Source organism: Homo sapiens, chromosome 4 (genome assembly GCF_000001405.40).
Source record: "Homo sapiens chromosome 4, GRCh38.p14 Primary Assembly".
Taxonomy (NCBI): Eukaryota; Metazoa; Chordata; class Mammalia; order Primates; family Hominidae; genus Homo; species Homo sapiens.
Window position 1 is genome coordinate 38,702,372 of NC_000004.12, and position 21,706 is coordinate 38,724,077.

A 21,706-nucleotide genomic window follows, 5' to 3' on the forward strand; every position below is an offset into this window, starting at 1 on the left:
GCCGGAGTGCAATGGCACGTTCTTGGCTCATTGCAACCTCCACCTCCCAGGTTCAAGCGATCCTCCTGCCTCAGCCCCCGTAGTTGCTGGAATTACAGGCACGTGCCACCATGCCCAGCTAATTTTTGTATTTTTAGTAGAGACGGGGTTTCGCCATGTTGGCCAGGCTGGTCTCAAACTCCTGACCTCAGGTGATCCACCCACCTCAGCCTCCTAAAGTGCTGGGATTACCGGCGTGAGTCACTGTGCCCAACCCTTTCATTATATTTCTTATGCATGACTTGACACTTGCTGAGTTCAAAGTAAGATCCATCCTTCTAGGAAGAATTGTTACAAGCTGGATTCTGCCCGGGTGAATGATGAGGATGGTAACAAATGTGGATTCTATGAGAAACTAAATTCTTTGGGGAAAATGGTTGAACAAATTTAAGATGTTCCAAACAAAAAAATATATATAACCATTTCCCATTACAGTCAGCCCTCTGTGTCCATGGGTTCCGCAATACAGATTCAACCTAGGGCGAATAGAAAATATTCAGGAAAAATTAAAAAAAAAAAAACACTACAATAATAATACAAATAAAAAGAACACGGTATAATAGCTATTTACATTGCATTACATTGTATTAGGTGTAAAATCCAGAGAGAATTTAAAATATACAGGAAGATGTGCATCAGTTGTGCAAATACTATGCCATTTTATGTAAGAGACTTTAGCATTTGAGGATTTTGGTCCCTGGGGGTCCATGCATACCGACGGATGACTATATTTTAAATGCTATCAGGTTAAGAAAGCAGGATTAGGAGGCTTACTGTGGGCCAAGTAAGATTATCAATTCTAATCTGAAAGAGAAGAAATGGCTGTGTTCAGGGACGGATACTGCTAAAAGATAAACTTGGGCACATTAAAATCTTAAAAGAGTTTATTTGAGCAGACAGCAATTCATGAATCTGGCAGTACCAGTTGCAAACAGTTGCCTGATTCCAGGAGACTGAATAAGCTGTTCTCAGAAGCAAAACAAATTATTTGATGGTTGAAGTCGAAAGTTTGTAGTTAGAGGTTAGTTGGCAGTTTCTAATTGGTTAAGATTGTTTCCCTAGGCTATGATCATTCCCTCTCATTTGGGCTTTGGTTTGCTTACACGGAAACCAAGGCATGGGAGCGGTCTCTGCCTAATGATCTCCCAATTCAATTATCAAAACAATGGATTGAGATGGAAGTAAATACATACACATATACATGTAAAAGTTAAACTACTAGAGACCTGACTTACCGGTGTGTATGCATAAAACTCAACAATGAATTTTCCTTCAAGTGTACATTCATTTTAAGAATGTAAACGGAACCTGGTACCATTTCCTATTGTCTGAGCAGATCATAGTCACACTAGTTAGTAATAGTGCAGTATGTAGAGAGAGTGACTCCGAAATTAGAATAACATGTGCTGTAAATTAGAATTATTTTTAAACTTATGGGGAAGTGGGAGGTTGATTCTCACCAAGTCCAGATATGCTTATTGGTTTGAGAGCTTCTGCTCATTATATCTCTGGTTTTGCATTCCCTACAGGCACCCTGAGTGGTGGGGTTAAGAATAGAAAACGGAAGCTGGATCTTCAGGCTCCTGGATCATGGCTGTTTCACACTGCATGCACTTAATGAATTCGATGTTTCTTCCTTTTCTCATGATTCAGGAACTCTAAGAACTTGGTGTTTAAAGAACTCAGAAAGGTGGCTCTTGGGGACTTTCAAGCCTTGCTGATCTGCTCCAGAAGAGGTATCACCTCCTGCTGCAAAGTACAAGAGCTTGCCTGTCAGTTACACATCTCCAAAGCTATGTTCATGTGTTCCCTCAACTAAAATAATATCCCACCCACACATTCACCACCAGAATGAGATCCTCATGGCTGAGCTGGGAATTGCTCGTCTTTATGAAGACATTGTTAGATGGTAGTTTGTTTCCAAACCAAGCTAGAGTCCACTAGTCCAGTGCAGTAAGACCAAACATCCACACCAAGGTTTTGCAGCAGGAGAAAGGAGGGCATTTATTTGCAGGGCACCAAGCAAGGAGAACTGGGCAGCTCATGCTTAAAACCCAACCTTCCCCGTGACTTTTAATTAAGCAAGGGTTTTAAAGGCAAAGGTAAATTTCAGGAAAGCAAAAGTTATAAGCAAAATCTTAAATGTATCCATGGAGTTTATACATTGGGTTGGCCTAAAAAGATGGGATATCTTGCAGTGGGGCTGTACAGGTCATAGGGAGATTCAGAGATTTTCTGATTTGCAATTGATTAAGGAAGGGAAGATTTATCTGAAGACTTGGGGTCAGCAGAAACGAATATTAGGTCTGGCCCATGGGTGTGACTTCCTCCAGGATCCTCAGGAAGAACTTTAGAACAAAGAGCTATGGTCAGAGCTCGGTCCTTAGTTCCCCCTTATCTGAGGTCTACATGCCAGCAGATGGCATTTTCCATTTGGTGGAGTTCTGGGTTTCTGAAAAGCAACTGAGGGACGTGAGTTAAAATGTTATCTTTAGTTTCTACAGGGAACCAAACATCTGGTAACTCTAACCTCCTTGGCTATGGTTTAATGCTACTATTACCTTCTTGCTTATCAGGTTGCTCATTTACTTCTCATGGCTAGCTAGGTGCCTGGAATTCCCCTTAAAGGAACTCCAGAATTTCTTTTATTTCCATTCTTGGGGGCCCAACAGGCCTCTCAGAGAAGTTGGTGATCCATCTCAGTTTAAGGAATAGGTGAGCCTGAGTTCTGCTCCTACCTCTGACCCTAACTTCTCTCTCTCGCCCCTTCACAGCCAGCTAATCGCTTCTGAGGCCACTTCTGGGTCTTTTCTCTTCTGTCCATTGCCATTGAGCTCCTGTGTTTCTCACTGGGGCTAGAACAGAAGTGTCTTCACTCTCCCACTTCAATCATTCTCCACCAGACACCAAAGCCATCTTTCCCAAACTAAGAGCTGACTGTTATGCCCCTCTGCTTAGAATCCTTCCATGGTCCTCACTGTACTGAAGCTGGTTCTTCTTAATTCAGCCCTACCCCCCTTTAAAGCCTCATCGTTTATCATTAAACTTTTGTTTTCATTTTCCTGTTTTTTTCTAAGAACCTTCAAACACCTCCCATACTCAGTGAGATTGATAGGTGCACAAGGCATTCAGGGAGATACAAAACTCTTACTCATTTGTCAAAATCCCACTCAAAAGTTACCTATTCTTTGAGCTTTCCTTGAATGAACTCCACTCACCCTCTCTGCGGAGATACTCTCTCCCTACTTCTTTTTTTTTTTTTTTTCTTTTTGAGACGGAGTCTTGCTCTGTCACCCAGGCTGGAGTGTAGTGCCGTGACCTTGGCTCACTGCAACCTCCACCTCCCAGGTTCAAGCGATTCCTCAGCCTCCTGAGTAGCTGGAATTACAGGTACACACCACCATGCCCGGCTATTTTTTTTTTTTTTTTTTTTTTTTTGTATTTTTAGTAGAGACAGGGTTTCACCATGTTGGTCAGGCTGGTCTTGAACTCCTGACCTCGTGATCCACCTGCCTCAGCCTCTCAAAGTGCTGGGATTACAGGTGTGAGCCACTGCGCCTGGCCCTCTCTCCCTACTTCTTTCTGTAACCACATAATCCTTGAGTTTCCCTCAATTTTCAGCACTTATCACCCTGCATGGTCAGTCTGTCCATCTGTCTCCTTCCCTCCCTAGATCTCAGATCACCCTAATATGATTCTGTTCTGGGTGTCCAGTGTCCAATCCCCAGCACCAGGCACAAAGCATGCCTGGGTGTGTGTTGGAAAGTGTGCTACGGAAGGTGTGTTGAATGAGCGAATGGGTACTAATAGCTAACATTAAGTGAACACTTACTATATATTTTGCACTATTCTAAGCAATTTGCAGCCATTAATTAGTTTAATTCTCAACACTGTAAAGCATGTAACCATTATCATTTTCTTTTTACAGATGGAAATTGGGGCACAGACAGATTAAGTAATTTACCCAAGGTCACAAAGATAGGAAGCGGGAGAACCAGCTTCAAATTCAGGCCTCCTATGTCCAGAACCTGCTGTCTTAACTATTATATGGGTCTCTGGCCTTGGTGGCCCTCAGGCCATTTCGTGCTTCCTCTCAAATTTCAACCCAGGTGTGCTATGGGTTGAATTTTTTTCATACTTTTACTGTACTGAGCCATCTGCTGGGATACCCTCCCCCTCCATCCCAGGCCACACTCATCCACCCCTTCACTAGAAAAATACTGCTAATTCTTCAGTACTTGTAAAGCCAGAAATCCCCAATGGGTAAAGGAAGGGGGAAATTTGCTGGTTTCTATAAATAAGAGGTTTGAGATATACAAATACATATACTTGTATATATGTATACATACATATACTTGTCTATATATGTATCTCTATGTATGCGTACATATATACGTATATATGTACGCGTACATATATATATGGGATTACACCTGTAATATACAAAATATGCAAAAATTAGCTGGGCATCCCATACATATATATATATGCTTATATGTATATGAATATATATCTACATATGTATATGTATATATGTATATGTGTATGTGTATATTCATATATATATATTTAAAAAATTATTTTTTCTGAGACACCGTCTCACTCTGTTGCCCAGGCTGGAGGGCAGTGGTGTCATCTCAGCTCACTGCAACCTCTGCCTCCTGGGCTCAAGTGATCTTCCCACCTTAGCCTCCTGAGTAGCTAGGACTACAGCCACGTGCCACCATGCCCAGCTAATTTTTGTATATTTTGTACAGATGGGGTTTTGCCATGTTGCTCAGGCTGACCTTGAACCCCTGGACTCAAGAAATCCACCCGCCTTGGCCTCCCAAACTGCTGGGATTACAGGTGTGAGCCACTGTGCCTGGTCTCGATTTATTTTTTTTTATGTCAGGTGAAGTGTATCTTTAGATAAAAATCATTCTTTTTAGTGTACATTCAGTCATATCATTACAATGAAGACATAGAACAATTCCATCCCTTCTTAAAATTCCCTCAGGCTCCTTTATACTCACCCATCCTCCAGGCCTATTTTATTTCCCTGTAATTTCACCTCTTACATATGTTTGTGTCACCTTTTTGAGTCTGGTGTCTATTGTTTCACATTATGTATTTGAGATTCAACTATGAGGTTACATGTATCAGTAAGTTTTTCCTTTTAATTATTGAATAAGGATATACAACAATATGCTTATACATTTACCAGTGGAAGAATATCTGGATTATCTTCAATTTGAGGCAATTATGAATAAAGCCACCATAAATATTCATGTGCAGGTATTATTAACTTTTTTGTTCAATTTTTGGGTTTTGTGTTCCTTACTCTTGGGTAAATACTTAACAGTGGGATTGCTAGATTGTGTGCTAAGTAAATATTTAGCTCTTTAACAAATTGCCCTACTCTTTTCCAGAGCAGCTATGCCATTTTGCATTTCCACCAGCAATGTATGAGAATTCCAAGGTATTCTACAACCTCACCCACACTTGGTATTGTCAAGTGTTTTGTTTTGTTTTATCCAACCGAATAGGTGGGGCAGTATCTCATTGTGGTTTTAATTTGCATTTCCTTCATGACTTATGATGAGCATCTTTTCATGTGCCTATTTGCCAGCCTTGTATCTTCTTTAGTGGAGAATCTCTTAAAATCTTTTGCACATTTTGTATTGGGTTGTTTGTTTTCTTATTATTACATTCTGAGAAGTCTCTGCACATTCTAGATATGCGTCATGTTTTGCTAATATTTTCTCCCAGTCTGTGGTTTGTCTTTTCATTTTCTTAACAGTGGTTTTTGAATAGAAGATATTTTTAATTTTGATAAAGTTTAATTTATCAATTTTTTTTCTTTTATGAATCATAATTTTTGTGTTCTAAGAAATCTTTCCCTAACCCAAGGCCACATACATTTTCTCTTATTTTCTCCTTCTAGATTTCTTATGGTTTTAGGCTTTACATGTACATCTATGATCTATTTGGGTTTAATCTTTGCACATAGATATAATTTATGAATTAAGGTTCATATGTATGTCCAATTGTCCCAGCACCATTTATTGAAAAGACTTTCCTTCTCCATTAAATTGATTTTGCATGTTTGTCAAAAAATCAACTAACCATACATGTGTGGGTCAGTTTCTGGATTCTCTGTTGCGTTCCATTAATCTATGTGTCTATCTTTTCACCAAGACCACACTATTTTAATTACAGTAGCTTTACAACAAGTCTTCAAATTAGTATGAATTCGCTAACTTTGTTATTCTTTTTAAAAATTATTTTGGTTGTTCTAGCTCCTTTGGGCTTCCATTTAAATTTTAGGAACAGTTTATCAGTCTTTCAAAACAAAAGACTGCTGGGATTTTGCTTGGGATTACATTGAATTTATAGAACAAATGAATCTTTCCATGTAAAAACATGGTCTATTACTCCATTTATTTAAGTCTTCTTTGATTTCTTTCATCAGTGTTTTATGGGTTTTGCATACAGGTTATGGACATATTTAATTAGATTTATACTTAAGGTTTCTGTTGTTGTTCTGTGCAAGGGATTGAGTTTAGCAGTCATAGAGGGACAGATGACAAGTCCTGGCTTTGAATGAGATGGACAGTTAAAACTAAGACCCTCTACATAAATCTCTGAACATAAGCAAACACAAAACACTGCTGGAAGAACATACTTAACCCATGACACAGAGAGTTTTCACAGAGAAAGCTCTACTTTAAGTTCACAAGCCAAGCTAACAAAACTCATAAAGAAACATATATTATAAGCAAAAGCACAGATGCTGCAAAGACCACAACACCAGAATTTCCTATGGTAGAACTGTCAGAACACTGTAAGTATGTTTAAAGACATAACAGGATTAATCAAAGCCCTAAGAAAATGGGTATCTGGAAAAGGGTTCCAGTCACAATATTAATAAATGGATTCATTCCACACTATTCCTTCTGCTAATTACCTCCCAAAGTGCTGGGATTCTGGGCATGAGCCACTGCACCTGGCTGACTATAACAGTTATATCAAAGGGGTCCAGCCTACAGAGCCATTCTCTTCCTGGTCTTTTGGGCAATGGGTGAGGGGAGTGCTGCACCTCTTACAGTGTTTACCTGGAGTATAAAAGTGGTTTTTTTTGTTTTGTTTTGTTTTTTAGATGGAGTCTCGCCCTGTCCCCCAGACTGGAGTGCAGTGGCGCGATCTCGGCTCACTGCAACTTCCGCCTCCAGGATTCAAGTGATTCTTCTGCTTCAGTCTCCCTAGTAGCTAGGACTACAGGCACCCGCCACCAGGCCCAGGTAATTTTTGTATTTTTAATAGAGACGGGGTTTCACCATATTGGCCAGGCTGGTCTTGAACTCCTGACGTCGTGATCCGCCCACCTCGGCCTCCCAAAGTGCTGGGATTACAGGCCTGAGCCACCGTACCCAGCCAACAGTGTTTTTAAAAATTTTTTTAAATTAGAGATGAAGGGTCTTGCTATGTTGCTCAGGCTGGTCTCGCACTCCTGGACTTAAGCCATCCGCCTGCCTTGGCCTCCCAAAGTGCTGGGATTACTGCACATAAGCCACCACATTGGCTTTCAATTATAGAATGAGGGAGAGGATTATAGAGAGCAGGGAGCAGAAGGAAAAGATATTTTAAACCCACGTCTGAAGTCCCTGGCTCATCTGTGGGTAGCCCAAGCATCAAGCTGACCAGAATCAACACAGAAGAAGCTTTGAGAATTGAACTGCAGCATGGAATATCACCATGTTTCAAAATGACCTCTGTGCACACTGTGGCTGACCAGAATCATACTACAAAGCTTCAAAATTTAAGTTAACATTCAAACCACAGCCCACAAAAGTGGGCCAGGATGTGTGCTCTAAATCTAAATGGGTGGATGGCCAGCTAAAATAGAAGATTTAAACAGGAACCAGAGTCTCATAACAGTACACACAGAGTTTCTAAGACATAATCCAAAATTACTCAGCATAGCCAAGAACCAGGAAAATCTTACCTTGCATGAGAAAAGAAATCGACACTAACACTCAAAGGACAGAAACGTTGGAATTATCTGAAAAGGGTTTTAAAGTAACTATTATAAAAATTCTCCTAAAAGCAATTATGAACACTCCTGGAATAACTGGAAAACTAGAAAATCTGAGCAAGAAATACAAGACACAAAAAAGAATCAAAAGGAGATTTTAGAACCAAAAAGTATAATATTCAAAATAAAAAACCCACTGGATGGGCTTAATGACAGAATGGAGGTTACAGAGGAAAGAGTAATATGAAGATAGATCAATGCAAATTATCCAATCCGAACAACAGAGAGAAAAATAGATTGAAAAATTAATGAACACAGGCTAGGGACCTGTAGCACAATATCAAAAGATCTAACATTCGGAATTCCAAAGAGGGAGAAGAAAGTTCAGGGCTAAAAAAATTTTGAAGAAATAATGTCTGAAAATTCCTCACATTTGTTGAAAGATCAAAAAAAACTACAGGTTCAAGAAGGTCAGCAAACTCCCAAAAGATTAAACCCAAAGAAATCTCTACCCAGATATATCATAATCAAACTGCTGAAAACTAGACAAATAAAAAAATGAGGGGTCAGGCATAACCTGCATGAAGCACGGTATTGAATTTTTGCATCCACAACTAGATAGATACTAAATACTAGAATTGTAAGTGGTTTTATTTGTATTAAAACATTTAATATTTTATTTTTGCCAAAAAATAAATAAAACTTCTTAGCTTCTCCCTCTGCCCAATCCTGTTCCCCTCATTTTCATGCAAGACTTATTTATTGCAGATGTTTCCCCCCCTTTAAACCACCTGCATGCAAATCTCTGTCTCAGAATGTATTTCCAGGGAACCTGACCTAGACATGTGCCAACTGGCACAGAGGTAGAAAGAAACGGCCCCCTGCCTCCTCTTTCAGATGTTGGTATAGTGAGACAAGCAAATGGTTAGCTTGCTGATAGATACTATTATTAAATGTACAAACGTGTCAATAAATTTATAATTTATTTTAAATATCTTTGATTTCAAATTGTAGATATTTAAATACATAATGGTATTTTCCCTTGTATTCTTGCCCCAGGTCCCACAAATATTTAGAGTAAGTCTGCCCTTCCTTCTTGATTTCTATTATATTTTCTAGTTTCTGGTATAGAGGAACATTATTGGTTTTATAATATCATCTTGTATCTGGCAAACAGGCTGAGCTGTCTAATTAATTCTATTACTTTGCCTGATGATGCTATTGGTTTGCTGTTATTGTTTTTAACACCTGTAATAACTACAGTAATAACTATTTAATTTTCCCCCAACCCCCTCCATCTTCATTTCTTTTATGCTTTTCTCATTTCTCATGGTATTGGCTAAATTATGCAACACCATATTAAGCATTAGTAGCTACCATCTGGCATCCTTGTCTTACAGTGATCTTCATGGAAGTGTGTCTAAAATGGCTCCAATAAGCATGATTTCTGTTACAGGATTTTTGTCATATAACATTTACCTGGGTAAAACTGGTTCCTTTCTTTTTCTAGTTTTCTGAGTGTTTTCATGTAAATGGGTATTGAACTTTAACAAATGCTCTTTCTGCATCTATTTAGATATAGGATTTTTCTCCTTTAGACCATTAATATGATAAATGACAGTGATAGATTTTTTTAATGTAGAACCATCCTTGCATTTCTTGTATAAAGCTTGCTTGTTCACAGGATATATAAATATGTAGTTTTAATAAAACGTAAAATTTGGCTAGCTGATGTTTTATTTAGGATTTTATATCCATGGGAATAACTGAAATGAGCTTGTAATTACTTGATCAAGGTTTCATTAGCTTCATAAACCGTGTGCAAATGAAAGAAGACCAACCAAACGAGAACAGACAAAGGCAATTAATTCAGAGCTTGCTAGTAAGGGAGTCGGCCACCAGCATTTGCATTTTGACAGAGATTTAAAGGCAGGGAAAAGAGGGAGAAAGCTTCAGAGCAGAAAAAGGGAAGGCTACAGGTAAGCCCTTATTGGAGGCTGTTAGCCTTCGGAAGCAGGTTAACTCGAAGCAGCGTATCCTATGTGATTGGTTAGGGTGCATGTTTAACTTTCTCTGGTTGGTCGTAGGTTGGAAGCAGAAACAAAAATCAGGGATGTTGGCCAGGCATGGTGACTCACACCTGTAATCCTAGCACTTTGGGAGGCCAAGGCGGGCAGATAACCTGAGGTCAAGAGTTCAAGACCAGCCTGGCCAACATGGTGAAACCCCATCTCTACAAAAATACAAAAATTAGCCAGGCGTGATGGTGGGTGCCTGTACTCTGAGCTACTCAGGATGCTGAGGCAGGAGAATCTCTGGAACCCGGGAGGCGGAGGTTGCAGTGAGCCGAGATCGTGCCATTGCACTCCAGCTTGGGTGACAGAGTGAGACTCTGTCTCAAAAAAAAAAAAAAATTAGGGATGCTGTCAATTATTAATCAAGTCCTGGCTATTTTGGACTGATTGTTACAAGGGTTATTGTTTGGCTTCCTGGACTGTTTGCTAGAGATAGTGGTCTGACTCTTCCAAGTCTAATTTGTAGATTGCAAGCTGGTTTTCTAGGCTAGTTACTGTAGGTAACGGGTTAGCTTCCTGGGCTAGTTGCTGCAGATTGTGGGGCAGAGTTCTATTTTTATATATACCCTGGCCATTGTCTGTTTATATAGACCATTTCAACTGAGTTGGACAACTTTCACTCTTTCAGTTTTCTGGAACATCTTATAAAAGGCAGATATTCTTCCTTGAAAGTTTGGTAAGATTCCTCTGAAAAACTGCCTGGGCCAAATTCTGGGCAGAAGGGGTGCTTGCTTACCCTTTGAGGTTTTAAAATAATCATTACTCTATTGAAATATTCTACTTATTCTTCCACCAATTGTTGCCCTTTATATTTTTCCAGAAATGTATCTGGTTCATCTAAGTTATCATATTTATTATAAAACAGTCATAATAGCATTTTACAATTCTTTTAATCTCTAGGTCTATAGCTGTTTTCCTTTTTATTACATATTTTGTGTACTTATGTCTTCCTTCTTTTCTTGATCAGTTTCGCCAGAAGTCTATCTTCCTAATTTTTTTCAAACAACCACATGTTTTCTTAATTAATATCCTAAAGTGCTTTATGTTTGTTTGTTTGTTGGTATCTAATACATTAATTTATATTTTCTTTCTTCTTGTTTGAGTTTGCATTGTTGTTATATATTTTAATTTCTTGAGATAATTCCTAACTCATTTGTTTTCATACTTCCTTGGATTATTTATTTATTTATTTTTCAGACAACACCCGGTTCATGAGGTTTTTTTAAGAAATGTATTTAGAATTTTTGTGTTTTTTTTATTATACTTTAAGTTTTAGGGTACATGTGCAAATGTGCAGGTTTGTTACATATGTATACATGTGTCATGTTGGTGTGCTGCACCGAATGTATTTAAATTTACTGTATGAGTCTGTTCTCACGTTGCTAATAAGGACATACCCTAGACTGGGTAATCTATAAAGAAAAAGAGGTTTAATGGACTCACAGTTTCACATGGCTGAGGAGGCTTCACAATCATGGCAGAAGATGAATGAGGGGCAAAGTCACTTATTACATGGAAGCAGGCAAGAGAGCTGGTGCAGGGGAACTCCTGTGTATAAAACCATCAGATCTTGTGAGACTTATTCACTATCATGAGAACGGTATGGGGGAAACAGCCCGCATGATTCAATTATCTCCACCTGGCCCCACTCTTGACGCGTGGGGATTATGACAATTCAAGGTGAGATTTGGGTGGGGACACAGAGCCAAACCATATCAAGTTATAAATGTCTTTCTAAGCTCTGCTTTTATTTGGCGCCCTAAATTTTGTCATTCATGCAGGCAGAACAGCCACACAGAGTGAACCATTTTGCTCACTGCATAAGATCTGGATGAGCTGGTGAGAAGAGCTCTCTGTCGAAAGGAAGAAATGCTTTTTTTTTGCAGAAAAGGACCTCTAGCTCTCTCCTTATAGGCCCTCAAGGTTGTGACTGTCCAAAGCAGGTGCCTCTGTCTGATTCAAACAGAGATGCCGTGTAGGATAGTGAGAGTCCTGAGGTGGGTCTGCTACTCAGCCCTAAGTATTTTATTTGTCTTATGATTCTGTTAACCCAGGAGTTACTTAGTAGCATTTTATCCAGTTTCCATGTGTCTGAGATTTTGTTTGAGTAATATACTAGATAGGGGCAAATAGACCAATAGGACTGAGTAGACAACTGAGAAATACTGTGCACCCTTGCACCTCTGGGCTCTTGAGATGTAAGAGAGGTGGTGCCAAACATTAATGGAGAAAAACAGAAGTGCTTTAGGAAATGACGTGAAAAGAACTGGATCACTATTTAGGGAAAAACAAAGCTGGATTTGCTCCCTTATCTCCTATGCAAAGATGGATGTCTGGTGTAAAAGAAATAAACTGAAACTTAGCTGAAGAAAATGTAGGCATTCATCCTTGTGAGCTCCAAGTGGGGAGAGATATCCACAAGGCTGAAAATGTATAAACCACATAGCAAAATGTTGATAGGTTTGACTATATCAAAATTAATTTATTTCAGCAGAAAAAGTTAGCAGGAGCTAACAGAGTAGGAGAAGATGTTTCCAATATCTATTCAAGGACTGTCCTAAGAACACAAGTAAATCAACATCAATGACCTCAAAAACGGCATTGAGTAAGAAAACAGAAAAAAATACAATAGTTTCCCCTTATCCATAGTTTCGTGCTTTCCACAATTCCAGTTACCATGGCCCAAAAATATTTCATGGAAAATTCCAGAAATAAGCAATTCATAAATTTTACATTGCATGCCATGTTGAGTAGCATGATGAAACCTCGTACCACCCTGCTCTGTCCTGCCTGGGACATGAATCATCCCTTTGTTCAGCCTATCCATGCTGTCTACACTACCCACCCGTTATTAATTTAGTAGCCCTTTAGGCTATCAGATCAAAAAAACATAAAAGCAAACAAACAAACAAACAGCATAGTATGTATAGGGTTTGGTGCTATCTGAGGTTTCAGGTATCCATGGGAGGTCTTAGAACATATCCCCCAGAGACAATGGGGGACTATTGTATTAATATCACACATCATTCATATAAATTGGAAACACATGTATGTACAAAGCTACATGCTTTACAAGAACACAGGCATATTTAAGGTCACAGCTTAAACACATTAAAGTTGGTGTGCATGGGGGTAAGAAAAAGGGAATAGAGACTAAGAAAGAAGGGAACAAAGAAAATAAGAGAGACTTACACCTCAGCTCAGAGCGTAAGGTCATCATTCGTCTATCCATGAGTAACTCAGTTCTCAGCAGAAAAAACAATTTAGACCAGAAAACATTTGTAAAATGTCTATCTAGTACCGTCACATGCTAGTCATATAGTTATGTTAGTTGCTTTTCTACACTTCTACACTACTGTGAAAATCCATGTCACATTGTGCAACCCATCCTAGACCTGTTTTTTTGTTTTGTTTTGTTTTGTTTTTTGAGACGGAGTCTCGCTCTGTCGCCCAGGCTGGAGTGCAGTGGCGGGATCTCGGCTCACTGCAAGCTCCGCCTCCCGGGTTCACGCCATTCTCCTGCCTCAGCCTCCCAAGTAGCTGGGACTACAGGTGCCCGTCACCACACCGGGCTAATTTTTTTGTATTTTTAGTAGAGACGGGGTTTCACCGTTTTAGCCGGGATGGTCTCGATCTCCTGACCTCGTGATCCGCCCGCCTCGGCCTCCCAAAGTGCTGGGATTACAGGCGTGAGCCACCGCGCCCAGTCGATCTGTTGTATTTTTTTTAATAAGCAAAAGCTTTCAACCTTACCAGTCAGAACTTCCTTGTTATTAAAAATAAAATGGTTGAGCAAAATGCTGAATTGAGTATTTGAAATGAGACAGGCGTCATCTGGCTAATTTCTTTTAAAGACTTCTCTCCCCTAATAAAGAATGGAGTGAACAATTGCTTGTATTTGAGCTTTTAATTAGACCCAATATAATATGCTTACAAGTATTTTGCCTGCCAGGCATCGCAAAAATCACTCCGCTGATTTTACAAGAATTTAATACATGGGAACACAAGTTGGCTGGGATTCAATAAGAGATTATCTTGCTAAGTGAGAATAATGAAAAAATCAAGGAGAAACACAACTTTATTGGAAGGGGTGGGAGGAAAGGAGATGGGTGGGAAGTCACACTGGAAATGAGTTTCAGAAGTACAGAGTAATTTACTTAGGGACAGGTCCTGGTTTTGTGGGGCCTGACGCCTACATATTTGGTGGAGGCAGGTGAGAGGAGTAAAAGATTTAAGGAAAAGAATATTAAAATATGAATATGAAACCAGTTATGATTATATCAAATGAGAAAAAAGTCTTAATAAACTACAAATTTTAAAAGATGATAGATATGTTAAATATAACAAAATCTAGACAAATCTCATAATGTTTCTTAATGACTTGTCTGATCATCTCTACAATATTTGTTTTCTACATATTTTTTGGCTGTGCAGCCTTTATAGCCTTTTTCTGTGACAACAATTTTATAATGTTTTTTATATGGAGAGAATACAAAGACAAGTTAATCTTTCCCTAGCATGGATTATTAAAATTTATTTTTTATTACTTTTTATTTTTGAGATGGACTCTCATTCTATCGCCCAGGCTGGAGTGCCGTAGTGTGATCTTGGCTCACTGCAGCCTCTACCTCCCCGGTTCAGGCTATTCTCCTGCCTCAGCCTCCCAAGTAGCTGGGATTACACGCACGCCACCATACTCGGCTGATTTTTGTATTTTTAGTAGAGATGGGGTTTCGCCATGTTGGCCAGGCTGGTCTCGAACACCTGACCTCAGGTGATCTGCCCACCTCAGCCTCCCAAAGTGCTGGGATTACAGGTGTGAGCCAGCATGCCCATCCTTGTTACTCTTTCTTTTAATTTTTTTTTGTGTGTGTGTTTTGTAGAAACAGAGTCTTGCTATATTGCCCAGGTTGGTCTCAAACTCCTGGCCTCAAGCAATCCTCCCACCTTGGCCTCCCAAATTTCATGCCAGTGGGATGAACACCAAAGTTTATACCAGGCATGAACACCACATCTGGCGTACACTTTCTTGTTATTAATAATCAGATTCATAAAATACATGATTTCACACATAGATTTACTCACTTTTATAGAACTGCTACAGGTTTGTGCCCTGTAAATATAGAAATGCTGATAAAATCTATTTCATATGATTCATTTCTAATTATATGTGTTGCATTATTGAGTAGATTCTTAACAGGAAAGAACTTCTGCATGAATCAGACGCTGATGAGAACTGAGTGCCTTGCTTACCACTGTACGTGCCTAATGCCTGGCAGAGTGTTCTCTGGGTTGGCCTCTGTCCCTGCACGTTTTAATCCTTGTTTCTCTTCCACTGGCACATCTGGGTGAGGTGTCACAGGACACATTCTTATCACCATACCACGTCTGGTCCTCCAGCTTCATGTCTCCAATCAGGTCAGGTCAGGTCAACCCAGTGGGCGATGAAAGTATTCCCTGGACATTATTCCCACACCAGGATGAACTGACAAGAACTCAGCATGGAAGTGACGTGAAACACACGAATATATCCTGCGAAACCCAAACGAAATGAAATTTCCAGGTTAATATTCCCTTAGATGACCTCCCCAAACTGCCCACAGCTGTTCCAGGCCTCTTCACACTTGGGGAAGTCAGAAAGGAAAGAGAGGGCAGTCGTAACCAATGTGCAGTTTCAATATCGAACAGCAGGTCCTCAAATAACACCATTTCATTCAACGTTGTTTCCATATCACTTTGAGAGAAAAAAATGGATTTCTGGCTGGGACCACTGCCTGTGTGGAGGAGTTGCACATCTCCCCGCATCAGCATGGGTTTCCTTCGAACACGCTGCTTCCCCACCACATCCCAAAGCTGTGCACACTGGGTTAACTGGCATCTACATGGTCCCAGATCAAGTGAGTGTCGGAGGTTGTGAGTTGCCCTGCCATGGGATGGCCTCCTGTCCAGCCCCGGTTCCCACCGTGTGTGCCCTACCCTCCCGGGACCAGCTTCAACCACCTGCAACTCAGAGCTGGAATAATAAGGTAAATAATTATTTCAATTGTTTTATTCGTTTTTTGTTTTTTGTGTTTTTTTGAGACGGAGTCTGGCTCTGTCGCCCAGGCTGGAGTGCAGTGGTGCCATCTCGGCTCACTGCAAGCTCCGCCTCCCGGGTTCACGCCATTCTCCTGCCTCAGCCTCCCAAGTAGCTGGGACTACAGGTGCCCGTCACCACACCGGGCTAATTTTTTTGTATTTTTAGTAGAGGCGGGGTTTCACCATGTTAGCCAGGATGATCTCGGTTTCCTGACCTCGTGATCTGCCCGCCTAGGCCTCCCAAAGTGCTGGGATTACAGGCGTGAGCCACCGCGCCCGGCCGGTTTTATTCATATTTCTTAAATGCATGTGTAGCTCACATTTATTTCAGTGTTTAATATTAGAGGTGTTTTGGTCTTTATTTAGAAGTTTGATGATGTTCTTCTAACCAGACATATGCCATGGGAACTTAATTCTTGTTTTTATCTATGAGCCTATGGGAAAATCGGTTTCATTATAAGTCGTTTCGCTTAAGGTCGCAGTTTCCAATAACCTATTGATGACATTAAGTGAGGACTTGCTGTACTTCCTTAGATTTCACAAACCTCAGTGGCAAAGGAACACAGCATGGGAGCTCGTGCCAGGACTTGGAAAGACCCAAAGCTGCAGATGAATTAGCTTCAGGGTAAATCCGCCTCTGACCCAAGAGGCGGGCAAACCTGGCTGATAATCAAACTCATCTGCAGGCCCTATTAGAGAAATACGGACCCAAAGGCCCCACCTCTGGAGATTTTGCTTCAATAGTGAAAAGGGAAGTGGTGCTTTTGGAAGCTAAGAGGGTTGGGTAAGGTGTGCATGGAGGTGGGAGGGAGGAGAGTACAGATGGAACTTACTGAGCCTTCTAAAATCATTCTCTTCATAGCTGGTCCTGGTACCCTGTGAACTGTCCATCATCTTTTTTTTTTTTTTTTTTTTTTTTTGAGACAGAGTCTCGCTCTGTCGCCCAGCTTGGAGTGCAATGGTGCGATCTCAGCTCACTGCAACCTCCACCTCTTGGGTTCCAGCAATTCTCCTGCCTCAGCCTCCCAAGTAGCTGGGACTACAGGTGCATATGCCACCATGCCCGGCTTTTTTGTATTTTTAGTAGAAACAGGCTTTCACCCATGTTGGCCAGGCTGGTCTAGAATTCCTGACCTCAAGTGATCTGCCTGCCTCGGCCTTCCGAAGTGCTGGGATTACAGGCGTGAGCCACCACCCCTGGCCTGTCCATCATCTTTCAAAGCAAGCTTGTTCAACCTGTGGCCCGCCGGCCTAATGCAGCCCAGGATGGCTTGAATGCAGCCCAAAACAAATTTGTAAACTTTCTTAAAACATTATGAGATGTTTTTGGATTTTTTTTTTTCTCATCAGGTTTTGTTAGTGTCAGTGTATTTTATGTGTGGCCCAAGATAATTCTTCTTCCAATGTGGCCAAGGAAAGCCAAAAAATTGAGCACCCCTGTTTTAAAGTCTCCTGGTATTTCAAGAAATGATGGCCAGGGCCAACTTCTCCAAATTGCTATTGCTGCCCTTCCATCACAAGCACACACATCCTCCCTCTCCCTTTGCACTCCTATTCTGACTGTTTTGTTTTTGTTTTTGTTTTTGTTTTAAGACAGAGTCTTGCTCTGTCGCCCAGGCGGGAGCACAATGGCGCGACCTCGGCTCACTGCAACCTCTGCCTCTCAGGTTCAAGCAATTCTCTGCCTCAGCCTCCCGAGTAGCTGGGATTATAGGCGCCCGCCACCATGCCTGGCTAATTTTTGTATTTTTAGTAGAGACGGGGTTTCACCATCTTGGCCAGGCTGGTCTTGAACTCCTGGCCTCGTGATCCACCTGCATCGGTCTCCCAAAGTGCTGAGATTACAGGTGTGAGCCACTGCGCCTGGCCTTAATGAAAAAAAATTTCTTCCCCCCAGACGGAGTATTGCTCTGTCGCTTAGGCTGGAGTGCAGTGGCGCGATCTCGGCTCACTGCAACCTCCGCCTCCTAGGTTCAAGTGATTCTCCTGCCTCAGCCTCCCGAGTAGCTGGGATTATAGGTACATGCCACCACGCCCGACTAATTTTTGCATTCTTAGTAGAGACAGGGTTTCACCATGTTGGCCAGGCTGGTCTCAAACTCTTGACCTCATGATCTGTCCGCCTCAGCGGACGGATCCCAAAGTGCTGGGATTAAAGGCGTGAGCCACCACACCCGGCCCTGACTGTATTTAAATAAGGGACATGAGTATGTGTATGTGTCACACACACACATACACACACACACACACACCTGTGTCTTCCTCTAAATTACTACCATCAGGGCAAATATTAAATCAGGAGCTGAACCTGTTGATTGGAATCTGGAACTGGTCACTTGGAAGCTGGGAATCATTGGTCTTCTCTTTGTGTTCTAGAACGGAGGCAATCATACTTCCACTCATCTCCCATGCAGACAGTTCAGGTGAGAAGTTAAATCAATCCACTCCACCCAGAGTTCACAGGAAGCTCCTTAAATCCTAAGAATAACTTTCCATTTAAAAAATAAGTATTTCTGCACAGCTGGAGGGTAAGACTCTGTAATTATAAGCCTGAGATACCATTTGAACAGTCAAATACTAACTAAATAATATTCTAAAAACAATAGCAGCCCTTGTCATGAAATCTTTTTTTTTTTGAGACAGAGTCGATTTGTCACCCCAGCTGGAGTGCAGTGGCGTGATCTCAGCTCACTGCAACCTCCACCTCAAGTGATTCTCCTGCCTCAGCCTCTCAAGTAGCTGCGATTACAGGAACCCACCACTCCTGGCTAATTTTTTTGTACTTTCAGTCGAGACGGGTTTTCGCCACGTTGGCCAGGCTGTTCTCGAACTCCCAACCTCAGGTCATCCACCCGCCTCAGCCTCCCAAAGTGCTGGGATTACAGCCTGGCCCCTTGTCATTAAATCTGTCTCTCTTTTTGACATCTTTGTGCCTAAGTGTACAGGCTTCAGAACAGACTGCCTTTGTCCACGTTCCTGTTTTATTCCTTACCATTATGCCCCCCGTGCAAGCTATGTAAGCTCTCTGAGCTTCAGTTACCTGGTCTGCAAAACAGGAGCAATTCATAACTAGCTGATAGGGCTGTTAGGATTGGATGAAATTGTGTTTGTAAAATGCCTAGTGTAATATTTGAAATTTGCTCAACAAATCAGTTAATATTTTCACTATGTTACTATTTGTACTTTCAGAATGAATGAGAAGGACATGCAAATGGGAAGAAGAAAGAGAGCCCACGGTTGTTGAGCCTACAGGACATTCTCAAACACTGAGAATAGGAAGACTGACAAAGATCATTTAGGAAGTAAGTTGATAGTGTTTATCCAAAATTTAATCCGTACATATCTAATTTCTAGGAACCTGTTACAGATGGATCTAAACTAATTTGACTGGGCAACGACTGTCAGATTCTCTTGGTAAAATTCAGCTGACTGCAGTGACTACAGGTAGATGATACAACCTTAACACAAAGAGCCACACACCTCAACTGTGGGCTCCTGATTAGGCCACTTCAAATACTAACTGCCCCTACGATGTAGAGATGAAAGATAAACTATCATACATACTACTAATGCTCATGGCGGATATGATGAATTGGGTACCTCTTTCTTTTTTTCTTTTTCTTTTTTTTTTTTTTTTTGAGACATAGTCTCACTCTGCCACCCAGGCTAGAGTGCAGTGGTATGATCTCAGCTCACTACAACCTTTGCCTCCTGGGTTCAAGCGAGTCTCCTGCCTCAGCCTCCCAAGTAGCTGGGATTACAGGTGCGCACCACTGTTCCTGGCTAATTTTTGTATTTTTAGTAGAGATGGGGTTTCACCATGTTGGCCAGGCTGGTCTCGAACTCCTGACTCAAGTGATTCGCCTGCCTCCATCTCCCGAAGTTCTGGGATTACAGGTATGAGCCACTGTGCTCAGCCAAACTACTGTTTCTAAATATACCTTTGTCGAGGAGGAAAAAATCATTTTCCTTCTACCCTTTTACGTTCTCAGCTGAGGCTCTGACAGGTGAACAGGAGAGAAACAACAGAGGTTTATTAACATGTGCATACACATGGGAGAAATTCAGGGATGAGTAACCCAAACAGGTGGCTAGAACTTGGACTTAATAGCACCTTTAAAAAAAAAACAATAAATTTCAAAGGCATAACAAGACAAAGCAGGAAAACTTTGAGTTTCTAGGGCAGCAAATTGTGGACATGTAAATATATGGAAGGTCAGCACCAGTCAGTAAAATTTGTTACATGAATGTTCTGATGCTGTCTTTTCACTGATAAGGTTCTAGGATTGTCAGTGATTAACTGTTGTTCAAATTTATGTCCTGATTTTAGGCAAATAGGGATAAGGATGACAGCTTTTCATGTATCTTCTCCGTTGTCTTTAGCTCAAAAGGATCCTTATGCCCAAGTGGCATATTTTGGGGTGGCAAATCCTGCTATCCTTTACCTTCCTGTACTGCAAAGTCTAGAAAACTAAAAATTACATTCCCTAGCTTCTCTTGAAGCTGAGATTTGGAGGGAGAATTCGGTCCCACCAAAGTCACATCAGATAATTTCCAAAATATTCCCCTTTTTTATTGATAAAGGCTAAGATGAAGGACGTGCTTAGTGTGAGGTCCAGATGGCCTACTGTTAATAACCGAGGCCCAGGATCTAGCCAGGCTACCTGTCCCCAGTCAGGGCAGCGTAGGACTGGCAGTGGCCTTCCCTACTGGGGGTTGGGGAACTGGGGCTGAGCTGGTAACCTTTAGGGAGGGCCCGTAGAGGCTGAGGAACATTTGTGTTTTTTGCAGACAGCTCACTCCCAGGAGGAAGAAAGGGAAACCTTGGGCTGAGCACACCTAGTATTTTTCCCAAATTTGCCAACCAGGTTAAACCACCTTTTTCCTCTCTCAGCCACTGCAGAAAGTCAGAGAGAGAGGCCAGGGTGTCACAACTCCACACTGGGGAGAATCACCAAGGAGGGTGAAAGGGTTTAGTTACCTATATTGGCAGGAAGTCTGGTGAAAAGGGAGAAAAAGGACTGTCACCATTTACTGTATATACTCCTGTTTAAAATTAATTTTTGCAAAAATCCTGTATTCAAGTACAATTTGTATAGTTAAAATAGAAAGAAAAAGAAACCTACCACTTCGGTGTAGGATGGAGTAACCTACAGCAAATGAAAGATCCTGCCAAGAAAAACTGGAAAATCTAGATTACGGTAATTTAAAAAGAAAAAAAATATTTTAAATGCATCAGAGGGCTGGGCGAAGCAAAAAGGATTAGAAAGGGCCCCACTCTGGAGAGAGGAGAACTGCAGAGAGGTGAGTTGCTAACTAGCAGCCACTTATCCCCTGGGGGCCCCTCATCCTGCCACTGGGCAGAGGAAAAGTCACTTCCTGGGATGACCGCATCTAAGGCCAGCTTTCCTCTTTTATTCTTCATCACAACTGTCTCAGGGCTTGCACTGCAATTTGTCATTAAATGTCAGCTTCATTGCATTTTTATTTGTCTCTC